Here is a 12,599-nt window from a genome sequence, read left to right as displayed (position 1 = left end):
CTGATTTTAGTTATTTCTTGCCTTCTGCTAGCTTTTGAATGTGTTTGCTCTTGGTTTTCTAGTTCTTTTAATTGTGATGTTAGGGTGTCAATTTTGGATCTTTCCTGCTTACTCTTGTGGGCATTTAGTGCTATAAATTTCCCTCTACATGTTGCTTTGAATGTGTCCCAGAGATTCTGGTATGTTGTGTCTTTGTTCTCATTGGTTTCAAAGAACATCTTTATTTCTGCCTTCATTTCGTTATGTACCCAATAGTCATTCAGGAGCAGGTTGTTCAGTTTCCATGTAGTTGAGCCATTTTGAGTAAGTTTCTTAATCCTGAGTTCTAGTTTGATTGCACTGTGTTCTGAGAGATAGTTTGTTATAATTTGTGTTCTTTTACATTTGCTGAGGAGAGCTTTACTTCCAAGTATGTGGTCAATTTTGGAATAGGTGAGGTGTGGTGCTGAAAAAAATGTATATTCCATTGATTTGGGGTGGAGAGTTCTGTAGATGTCTATTAGGTCTGCTTGGTGCAGAACTGAGTTCAATTCCTGGGTATCCTTGTTGACTTTCTGTCTCGTTGATCTGTCTAATGTTGACAGTGGGGTGTTAAAGTCTCCCATTATTAATGTGTGGGAGTCTAAGTCTCTTTGTAGGTCACTCAGGACTTGCTTTATGAATCTGGGTGCTCCTGTATTGGGTGCATATATATTTAGGATAGTTAGCTCTTCTTGTTGAATTGATCCCTTTACCATTATGTAATGGCCTTCTTTGTCTCTTTTGATCTTTGTTGGTTTAAAGTCTGTTTTATCAGAGACTAGGATTGCAACCCCTGCCTTTTTTTGTTTTCCATTTGCTTGGTGGATCTTCCTCCATCCTTTTATTTTGAGCCTATGTGTGTCTGCATGTGAGATGGGTTTCCTGAATACAACACACTGATGGGTCTTGACCCTTTATCCAATTTGCCAGTCTGTGTCTTTTAATTGGAGCATTTAGTCCATTTACATTTAATGTTAATATTGTTATGTGTGAATTTGAACCTGTCATTATGATGTTAGCTGGTTATTTTGCTCGTTAGTTGATGCAGTTTGTACCTAGTCTCGATGGTCTTTACATTTTGGCATGATGTTGCAGCAGCTGGTACCGGTTGTTCCTTTCCATGTTTAGTGCTTCCTTCAGGAGCTCTTGTAGGGCAGGCCTGGTGGTGACAAAATCTCTCAGCATTTGCTTGTCTGTAAAGGATTTTATTTCTTCTTCACTTATGAAGCTTAGTTTGGCTGGATATGAAATTCTGGGTTGAAAATTCTTTTCTTTAAGAATGTTGAATATTGGCCCCTAATCTCTTCCGGCTTGTAGAGTTTCTGCCGAGAGATCTGCTGTTAGTCTGATGGGCTTCCCTTTGTGGGTAACCCAACCTTTCTCTCTGGCTGCCCTTAACATTTTTTCCTTCATTTCAACTTTGGTGAACCTAACAATTATGTGTCTTGGAGTTGCTCCTCTTGAGGAGTATCTTTGTGGCGTTCTCTGTATTTCCTGAATTTGAATGTTGGCCTGCCTTGCTAGATTGGGGAAGTTCTCCTGGATAATATCCTGCAGAGTGTTTTCCAACTTGGTTCCATTCTCCCCGTCACTTTCAGGTACACCAATCAGACGTAGATTTGGTCTTTTTACATAGTCCCATATTTCTTGGAGGCTTTGTTCATTTCTTTTTATTCTTTTTTCTCTAAACTTCCCTTCTCGCTTCATTTCATTCATTTCATCTTCCATCACTGATACCCTTTCTTCCAGTTGATCGCATCGGCTCCTGAGGCTTCTGCATTCTTTCAGGTACACCAATCAGACGTAGATTTGGTCTTTTTACATAGTCCCATATTTCTTGGAGGCTTTGTTCATTTCTTTTATTCTTTTTTCTCTAAACTTCCCTTCTCGCTTCATTTCATTCATTTCATCTTCCATCACTGATACCCTTTCTTCCAGTTGATCGCATCGGCTCCTGAGTCTTCTGCATTCTTCACGTAGTTCTCAAGCCTTGGCTTTCAGCTCCATCATCTCCTTTAAGCACTTCTCTGTATTGGTTATTCTAGTTATACATTCATCTGAATTTTTTTCAAAGTTTTTAACTTCTCTGCCTTTGGTTTGAATTTCCTCCTGTAGCTCGTAGTTTGATCGTCTGAAGCCTTCTTCTCTCAACTCGTCAAAGTCATTCTCCATCCAGCTTTGTTCCATTGCTGGTGAGGAACTGTGTTCCTTTGGAGGAGGAGAGGTGCTCTGCTTTTTAGAGTTTCCAGTTTTTCTGCTCTGTTTTTTTCCCCATCTTTGTGGTTTTATCTACTTTTGGTCTTTGATGATGGTGATGTACAGATAGGTTTTTGGTGTGGATGTCCTTTCTGTTTGTTAGTTTTCCTTCTAACAGACAGGACCCTCAGCTGCAGGTCTGTTGGAGTTTGCTAGAGGTCCACTCCAGACTCTGTTTGCCTGGGTATCAGCAGGGGTGTCTGCAGAACAGTGGTGTTTCGTGAACCGCGAATGCTGCTGTCTGATCGTTCCTCTGGAAGTTTTGTCTCAGAGGAGTACCCGGTCCTGTGAGGTGTCAGTCTGCCCCTACTGGAGGGTGCCTCCCAGTTAGGCCGCTCAGGGGTCAGGGGTCAGGGACCCACTTGAGGAGGCAGTCTGCCCGTTCTCAGATCTCCAGCTGCGTGCTAGGAGAACCACTGCTCTCTTCAAAGCTGTCAGACAGGGACATTTAAGTCTGCAGAGATTACTGCTGTCTTTTGTTTGTCTGTGCCTTGCCCCCAGAGGTGGAGCCTGCAGAGGCCAGCAGGCCTCCTTGAGCTGTGGTGGGCTCCACCCAGTTCGAGCTTCCCGGCTGCTTTGTTTACCTAAGCAAGCCTGGGCAATGGCAGGCGCCCCTCCCCCAGCCTCGCTGCCGCCTTGCAGTTTGATCTCAGACTGCTGTGCTAGCAGTCAGCGAGACTCGGTGGGTGTAGGACCCTCAGAGCCACGTGTAGGATATAATCTCCTGATGCGCCGTTTTTTAAGCCCGTCGGAAAAGCGCAGTATTCGCGTGGGAGTGGCCCGATTTTCCAGGTACCCTCCGTCACCCCTTTCTTTGACTAGGAAAGGGAACTCCCTGACCCCTTGCACTTCCCGAGTGAGGCAATGCCTCACCCTGCTTCGGCTCCCGCACAGTGCGCTGCACCCACTGACCCGCGCCCACTGTCTGGCACTCCCTAGTGAGATGAACCCGGTACCTCAGATGGAAATGCAGAAATCACCGGTCTTCTGCGTCGCTCACGCTGAGAGCTGTAGACCGGAGCTGTTCCTATTCGGCCATCTTGGCTCCTCCTCTAAGGTATGTCTTATAATCCGTATTTTATATCTTAGGAAACTGAGGCTTAGAGATGTTGTATTATTTGCCGTGTTTGCTAATGTAAACCATACATCCCTTTTCATCATAGATCTTTCATTCTAGACAAAAATGTATATGCAATATTTAGAACAAAAATTAATACATAATTTCTGATTATGGCAAGTGCTATTAAAAAACTATCGTGATAATGTGATAGAAAGCAACAAGGGCAGAAGAAAGTGTGGAATTTACAGAGAAAGTTCGGTAATAAGCAGTCCTTAGAAAGTGATACTTGAACTGAGAGCTGACAGAAAAAACGGATTCAGCCATGTGAAGGGCCAAGGGAAAAGTGAGTTAGTACAAAGTCACTGAAGCAGCAAAGAGCTTAGCCCATCTGGATACAGAAATCAGGCTTTGGGATTAGAGCTTAGTTACCTGGGGGAAGGATGATACTAAATGCTGTGGGTATGGTTGGCAGGAAAATCTAAGATATGGTAAATCTTGTATTGAGAATTTTGGATTTATTTCTAATTGAATTGATAAGACTTTGAATGTTTATACAGGAGAGCATTGCAAAACAAGATTTTTATTTTTAATTTATCCTTGGCTGCTATCATTAAAAGAATGCAGGTTTATGTTCTAAACAAGTACAAAGCTTATTCTCTTATCTGGAATTATTCATTATTCTCCTGGCATTTATCATTCATCATAATGCAAGCAATTTCCAACAATTACTCCTGCTGGGTGTAGCCCACACATAACTTTCCAATGTCAGAGAAATATTTTCAAACTATTTTATGATCCTACTCTGCTTTTCTGACACACCCTTAGATAGGTAATACTGCCTTCACAGAGAACAGTACATACACTAGGCATAGATCTCCTTTCATTTTAGGAAATGCCATTCTAGTCACACTCTGTCATCCATTCACTCTAGAGATATTTATTGACAATCTAAAATGTGCCAGGCCTTCTACTAGGTAAACAGGAGAGAATAAAGGGACATGGATCCTATTTCATGAAATTTACAGTCTGCTGAAAAAAAAAAAGAAAGCATGTAAAACCACATACACATGCACACACTCACACACACACACACACAGTATCTTAAATTTGAGAAAACGAACAAAGTATACTGTGAGAATAACAAGAGAAAACATATTTAACTGGTAGGGTAGGGTAAAAAAATGCATCTTTGGGAAATTATATCTAAGTTGAAGGCTACGCAGATACAGGGCATGACGAAATAGCATTCTTGTTAAAGGGAACATCATATAACAGATCCTGAAGCATTTGAAGAACTCAAAGACAGCTCACTGTTTTAGCACCTAACAAACAAGGTGGTACACCATGATATTGAAGAGGAAGCAGAGCCAGATCACGTTGCACTTTGTAGATAATGTTTAGGATTTGTAAAGTTTTTGTTTTAAAAGCATTTTATTTTAAGTGCAATGATATTCTCACAGAAATTGTAAGATGTTGGGGATTTTAAGAAAGGAACTGAAACTCCCCAACTTTAGCACAAACCATCCTCACTTTGCGGGTATAAACTGGTTATAGTGAGATCTGCTTCCCTGGTAGCTGCATACAGATTTACATTAAATGTGCAATCAGTGTAGTGAAATCTTCAAATTAACACCAAACTTTAATAACAGAAGAAAAAGAAACATGTTATTGGGGAAAAAAGATGAAAAATTGGCAAGTAAACTGAGAAGAAAGCTTATTTTTATCTCTGTGTTTTCTCTGATAGTTTCTTATTTAGTTGTAAACTAATAAGTAGTTAATATGAATAGCTACCATTTAATAAGTCCTTAATGTATCCCCTTTTGTCTGATCTACAACTGTATAAGAAATATAATGTCAGCACAATTTCATGGAAGAAGGCATTAAAGATTATCCAAAATATCAAAGATACAAATGATGGTGCCAGGAGACAATGCTTCCTTTAGAGCCTTCAAATTTCCAGGCCAATTCATGAACAAATATTTTCGGTTTTACTATTTCTAACTCTGGAATAATTTAGAACTTCCACCGAATTTCTTTGTAAGCTTAAAGCTTAACTTTTTTTTGAGCTTACAAGACTTCCTCTTATTCATCTTTTCTCGGGGAATTAAAGAGTTTGAGGCTGTTCATCTCAGCGTTTTTCCTATTCTTGCAATTTTCCGGGTCAAGGTATCATGGAAACAGAACCTCAGTGTTATATTATTTGGCAGCCTCTGGAGTGAACGTACAAGGGCATCATCAACAGAGTCCATTGAGGAGTAAAGATGAGTCTCTGGTGTCCCAAGCCACTAAGGATCACTATTCTCTTCATTTAAACTCAGTTCTTTGTCTCACGTCGACTTCATATACAGCTCTCCTCAGCAAATTGCAGGGTCACCACGATTTCCTGATTCACCCTTAATATGCAGCCTATCACTAAATATATGAACAGGGCCACTGACTAAACAAGGAAAGGATGTCACTGACCAGGTCCTGTTAATTTTTTTTTTGAACTAAAGCCACATATATTTCCCTTCAGAACTTAGAGTTGTCTAGATGGAGAATTCTGAGTATCAACTCTAGTCCTCCCCAGCCACTCAACACTCACACAAAGTCATTGGTTGTTATTCACATATTTACTCAGTAAGTCTTGAATTTAAGGACAAACAGGCTCACATGTCTTAACCTCAATAGCTTGATGATTCTAAGCAGTTATCCACTTTGAAAGTGTTACTTAGACAAGTGTCACATCTATAAATACTCACACAATAAAAATGTAAGATTCAGTAAGTAATGGTGCCACATTTTCTGTATGGAAAAATGGTGATATTCAAAGCAGCTCTGGGGAGGCATGGAGGCCACCCACAGATGAACACAGATCAGAGACAACAAGAATTCCAAATATCGACCCAGATACCCTCTTCTTCCTGTTCTCACTCTACTCATGGATAGGTTTTCCTGAGTGAGCACTGATAACAACTTCACAAACCAGAAGTTACTTTGAACATGAAATCACGCAAAAAATCTCCACACTAACATCAGTATAAATATAAAATAAATAAATGAGGTGGAGGACAAGATCGAATTAATCCTCTAGAGTCCTTAGAATAAATCCCCACTACAGTTGTTCCCGTAACAGCTTCCCAGATCCCTTGTTTCCTAAATGTTCTGCTGTTGCCACAAAGCCTTTGGAAAAACACTCTAGAGAGGAAATCTCAGCTCTATTGCCATTATTCTTGCTTTAAATTCCCATTAATATTTTTATCTGACTGACAGTTTCTAAGTAGTCTCCACAGTGTCTTACTACTACTTGATTACTTGCATTCTCTCTCAGAAAACACGCAAAGACCCCATAGGGTAAGGTTCTTAATATTTCATAACCCCTATGAGACTTTGAACTTAACTTTTCATAGAGGTATCCATTATACAGGGAAAATCCATTGTCAGAGAAGAAATAAGTCCATCTTGAGATTATTGTGTAGACTTTCTCCAGAGCCTCTCATTTTCTCCTTCCTGAAGCAAAATAACAATAATACAAATAGGAGCTACCGGCCAGGCGCAGTGGCTCACGCCGGTAATCCTAGCACTTTGGGACGCCAAGGTGGATGGATTGCCTGATCTCAGGTGTTCAAGACCAGCCTGGGCAACACGGTGAAACCCCGCCTCTACTAAAATACAAAAAATTAGCTGGGCCTGGCGGCGTGTGCCTGTAGTCCCAGCTACTCGGGAGGCTGAGGCAGGAGAATTGCTAGAACCTGGGAGGTGGAGGTTGCAGTGAGCTGAGATCACGCCACTGCACTCCAGCCTGGGTGACAGCGTGAGACTCCGTCTCAATAATAATAATGATAATAATAAAATAGAAGCTATCTTTTCTGCAGCGGTGGCCACCTCTCCTCAGAGTGCAGATAGCATCAGGCTAAGCTTCTTCGTCTGCCTTGGCCTCAAATACTGGGCTGGCCTGGAAATTCCTAGTCCCCAGATGAACCAGATATCTTCGTAAGTAGTCAGGTGTGTTATATTAGCAGCTAAATTAAACTTTTCATCTCTCTTCTCTTCATCCAGAAATAGAAGTTGCAGGTATTAGATTTAGACAATTGTTTATTCCCGATTTCCTCTCTGTAACACCTGCTTTCTTTCAGAGCATGGGTCAGCAAGCTGTGGTCTGCAGGCCAAATACAACCATGCCTATTTTATAAATAAAATTTGATTGGAACTATACCACTCCCATTGATATACATGCAGTCTGTGGATTTTTCTCAATACAAGCACAGAGTTGAATAGTTGTGACCATATGATCTGTAAACCTAAAATACTTACCGACCAATTCTTTAGAAAAAAAAGTGTCCTGATCCCTACACTAGAGGATTTTTGTATCGTTTAAAATCTTTTTCCTCTTTGCATTGACTCCCTAGCAATCTGGTACTCTTCACTGCTCAGGCTAATTAAGCTTTCTCTACTCAGCAAATTCCTCCAGAGTTCTAGCCAACTTTGTGTTTTTTGACTTCTGGAATCCAACTAGTCAGCATGAACAGGGACTTCTCATGTTCTAAGAAGATAACCTTATTAAAGGAACCCCAAATAATAGCCTGCATCAAACTAAGATGTAATCCCTAAATCCCTTACACCTCTGATGTCCTTGTATTCCATAATACGAGGTTAATTGAGATACAATTCATGTTCCAAAAAATTCACCCATTTAAAGTGTACAATTCAATACTGTTTAGCATACTCAGGGATTTGTGCCACCATCACAGCAATCTAATTTTAGAAAATGTTCATCACCCCAAAAAGAAACCCTGCCCTCTTTAGCAGTTCATCTCAAGTAGCCTACAGTACCCTAAGCCATAGGCAAACATTAATCTATTTTCTGTCTCTCTATTTTGCCCATTCTGGACATTTTACATATATGCATTCATATACAATAGGTGGTCTTTTGTGACTAGCTTCCTTAGCATAATATTTACAAAGTTTATCCGTGTTGTTGCATGTATCAGTATTGCATTTGTTTTTATGTATGGCTGAGTAACATTCCATTGCTAGAGATACACTACATATTTTTCACCCATTCATGGGTTGGTAAATATTTAGGTTATTTCACTTTTTAGATTATTATGAATAATGTGGCTATGAACATTTGTGTATAAACTTTTATGTGGACATACATTTTCATTTCTCTTGGGTGTATACTGAGAAGAGAAATTGCCAGGTCATATGGTAACCATATATTTAACATTTTGTGGAGCTGCCAAAATGTTTTTCAAAGTTGCTACATTCCCACCAACAATGTAGGAAGGTTCTATATTTTTTCCATCCTTACCAACATCTATCATACTATTGCTTAAATCTTTCTTTTATTATAGCCATCCTTGTGGGTATAAAGTAACATCTCATTGTGGGTTTGACTTGCATTTCCTTAGTGACTAATGGTTCTGAGCATCTTTTCCTCAATACCATTGGTCAAATGCTTATTGGCCGTTTTAATTTTGTATTTGGAGAACTATCTACTGAAATTCTTTGACTATTTCTTAATTGGGTTATTTCCTCTTTTACGACATTGTGAGAGTTCTTTATATGTTATGAGTATAAGTTCATGATCAGATACATATTTGCAAATATTTTCTCTCATTCAGTGATGTATTAGGCTGTTCTTGTATTGCTATAGAGAAATACCTGTGACTTGGTGATTTATAAATAAACAAGGTTTAATTGGCTCACAGTGCTACAGGCTGTACAGGGAGCATGATGCTGGTATCTGCTCTGCTTCTAGCGAGGCTCCAAGGAGCTTTTTTACGCACAGTGTAAGGTGAAGTGGGAGCTGGCATCTCATACGGCAGAGAGCAAGCAAGAGACAGAATTGGGGCAGGGAAGATGCCACACACTTGTTAACACAGCCATATCTCATGAGCACTCACTATCTTGAGGTCAGCACCAAGCTATGAGGGATTCACCCCCATGACCCACATACCACCCACCAGGTCCTACCTTCAACATTGGGGATTACAATTCATCATGAGATTTGGCGGGGACATATATTCAAACTATATCAAGTGAGTTGTGTTTTTTACTCTCTTGACAGTATCTTTTAAACTGCAAAAGTTGTTTTAATTTCAGTAATGTCCAATTTATCTATGTTTTCCTTGGTTGTTTGGGTTTTAGGTGCCATATCTAAAGAACTATTCCCTAACCTATGGTCATGAAGATTCACTTCTAAATTGTTTTCTAAAATGTTTAAGTTTAAACTCTTATATTTAGGTCTTTCATCCATTTTGAAGCAATTTTTGCATATTGTGTGAGGCAGGTTTTTAATTTCAGTCTTCTGTATGTAGATATTCATATGCGGCAGCATCATCTATTGAAAAGCCTGTTTCTTCTATTGATTTTTTTCTATTGAAAAATCTTGGCACCCTTCTCCAAAATGAGTTGGCCTTAAATGTGAGGATTTATTTCTGGACACATAATTCTATTCCATTGATTTATAATGTGTCTGAGATGTGAGTTCTCCAAATTTTTTTTTTCAAAATTGTTTTGGTTATTCGGCATCCCTTGCATTTCTATGAAAATTTAAAAAATTTTAAATCAGCTTGTCAATTTCTGCAAAAGATCCAGTTTTAATTTGATAGGTTTTGCTTAACATTATGTTTTATACGCTGTCTTTGAAACTTAAGATAACTTGCTGACATAATACATATGTCATACTGGATAACTGATGGGGTCAGCTACACGAAGCAGAAAATATAAATTTTGCAAAGACTGTCTGGGAAGGGAAATGTTGAGACCTCTGAGTACCACAGAAAGATTCTTGCTACCTAGACTGCTAGGAGACTACTCTAGAATCACTCCATTAGTCTAGGAAAATCTTATTTCAACTTAACCAATTTATCATGAGACATTCCTTTTCTCTCTAGCATCTCACACTGTCACTTTACTACTACACTGCAGTACAAATAATAGCATTAGCTGCTGCATACAGTGCCAGTCATTGCTTAAAATACATTATTTGTGCAACGTATTTAATGCTTACAATTATATTATTGGGTAAGCTATGTAAGTTTTGCTATATCAATAAAGATATAAAAGGTCAGAGGATAACAGCTTTTATTTAGGTAGAAAGTATTAGAAATAGAATTTGGACTCAAACTCAGCTACCTCTTAAAGTTAAGCTCTTAATCAGTATTTACAATTTCTTCCCACAAAGTAGCCAGTTAATAAATGTCTTTAGAATAAATAATCAATCAAGACTCAATCAGGTTTCTGTAGTACCAATAATTTGTGCTGCCTTTCTAAGCTTTCAGAGTGACTGTGACACAGAAAATATAAATCCACAAATTTAATGTAGTTAGAGACCTGAAAGGCCTACATATCATTTACAAGAGCACCTAGAAGTATTTATCACAGTAAAATTATGTAATGTATTGGATGTGTTTCAAAATAATCTATGGAGACTAAAATTAGAGAAGGGTGATAATGAATCAAGGTATGTTGAAAAGCATTGCAGATAGTGATTGATACAATAGATTCATTGTATTATTTTATCAGCTTTTGAAGATCATGATAATGTTCACAGGAAAAGTTATTTTTTATTAAAATGTCCATCCCACCCAAGGCTATTTATAGATTCAGTGCAATTCCTATCAAAACTCCAATGTCAGATTTCACAGAAATAGAAAAACAATCCTAAAATTCAAATGGAACCAGATAAGCTGCAGTTTTACAAGCTTTTATTTCAAATGTCCTTGGCTAAATAATGTCTCTTACAAAATTAGTAACCCTGAGGAAAAATAAAATAAAATAATACATAAATCAAAGTAAATACATGAATAAAGCCAACAATAACACAAAATTATTTATGTGAAATATATTTAAAAGTGATGATCCCAACATCCTAGGTCATTTTAAAGATTCTAGTTTTTTCTCTTCTGCTTGTAAAGGTCATAGCTGCCACTGGGTCACATGGCAGTGCAAACCAGCTTCAGCCATGTTCTAGGCCCAGAATCATTTCTCTCTGCTGTTGTTATGAGCTGCTTATCAACCTCTGTGTGATAAAAATCATTTTATTGATGAGTCTGAACTTGACAGAGTTCAAGCTTTAATTTTTTCCCAATGTTTCCATCAACCATGCTCTGTGAAACCCTCCTTTACTTTCTTTTAACTACTGAAATGGCCATGAGAATGTTTCTCATAGACTTTCAGCTGCAGAGGACATAACAGACCAAGAGCCTCAGGTGCTGTCATTTGAAGTCCATTAGCTTTATTCTGAAGCCAGGCTTTCCACAGGCTGCTCTCACCCAATGATGCAGTGCAGGAGGAATACTAAAGCAAGTCCATTCTTGGAAGACATGGAACTCATCTGATTGGCAACTTTGGCTCAAGGACTCTCCAAGCCCCATGCTGAACCTTCCCTAGACTTCATAACTGATTATGATATTTCCACCTAGCCTTCCTCTCCTGCCTCCTTCACTAGCAGTTAGTACTGCATTGTCATATGATGCCTTTGTCTCCCAGCTTTGCCAGGCTTCCTCCCCAGTTTCTCTCACAGGTGCTTCCCATAATACAATTCTACTTTGTTTTATTTTTTGAAACAGAGTCTCCCTCTATTGCCCAGGCTGGAGTGCAGTGGTGCAGTCATGTCTCACTGCATCCTTGACCTCCCGGGCTCCAGCGATCCTCCCACCTCAGCCTCTCAAGTAGCTGGCACTGCAGGTTCATTTCATGCCACCACACCTAGCTAATTTTTGTATTTTTGGTAGAGACAGAGTTCTGCCATGTTGCCCAGGCTGGTCTCAAACTCCTGGCCTCAAGTGATCTGCCCACCTCGGCCTCCCAAAGTGCTGGGATCACAGGCATGAGCAACTGTGCCTGGCCACAATTCTTGCTTGTTTAATCACCTTGGCAACTGATTCTTGGAGGACTGCTATTAACACAGCTACATATTGGACACATTCTGTAACTTCCAGTCACTTTTAAGTATAAACTCTTTTAGACTTATTTAGATCTTTTGTCTTGTGTGATATTTAATGTTTATCTCTTTCACCTCAGACTTCTGAGAAAGAGGCTTGAGTAGAGAAGGGGTTGTAGCTCTTTAGTTCTCAGGCTGCTTTTAGAGCCCCTTTCTGCTGTACCCTTTCATTAAATATTGACTTTAGCTCAAGGGTCTCTGTTGTAAGTGTAAATTAGGTTCATGTGAGCTCCTTGAGGGACTTCACCCAATGCAAAGTTCTTTCAAAGGGAAGATCTCATTCTAGTTTAATTTCTTTCCACTCTTTGCCACAGCTCCCGCCTCTGTTGA

The 12,599-nt window shown here is 39.3% G+C and overlaps 2 annotated features.

The window, feature by feature from the left end:
* Positions 2,468-3,667: an enhancer, noted in NCBI's record as "BRD4-independent group 4 enhancer chr9:29450054-29451253 (GRCh37/hg19 assembly coordinates)". NCBI's record gives its function as "activates an origin of replication core promoter dependent on BRD2, P300/CBP, MED14 and CDK7 cofactors, and independent of BRD4, by STARR-seq in HCT116 cells {active_cell/tissue: HCT116}" and the evidence as "EXISTENCE:reporter gene assay evidence [ECO:0000049][PMID:35650434]".
* Positions 2,506-3,068: an enhancer, noted in NCBI's record as "NANOG-H3K27ac hESC enhancer chr9:29450653-29451215 (GRCh37/hg19 assembly coordinates)". NCBI's record gives its function as "activates a minimal SCP1, AML or CMV promoter by ChIP-STARR-seq in naive and primed H9 embryonic stem cells {active_cell/tissue: H9 hESC(naive and primed)}" and the evidence as "EXISTENCE:reporter gene assay evidence [ECO:0000049][PMID:30033119]".

The sequence above is a fragment of the Homo sapiens genome, chromosome 9 (genome assembly GCF_000001405.40).
Source record: "Homo sapiens chromosome 9, GRCh38.p14 Primary Assembly".
Lineage (NCBI taxonomy): Eukaryota > Metazoa > Chordata > Mammalia > Primates > Hominidae > Homo > Homo sapiens.
Note: the sequence above shows the minus strand (reverse complement) of the source record. Positions and strands in the feature narration are given on the sequence as shown.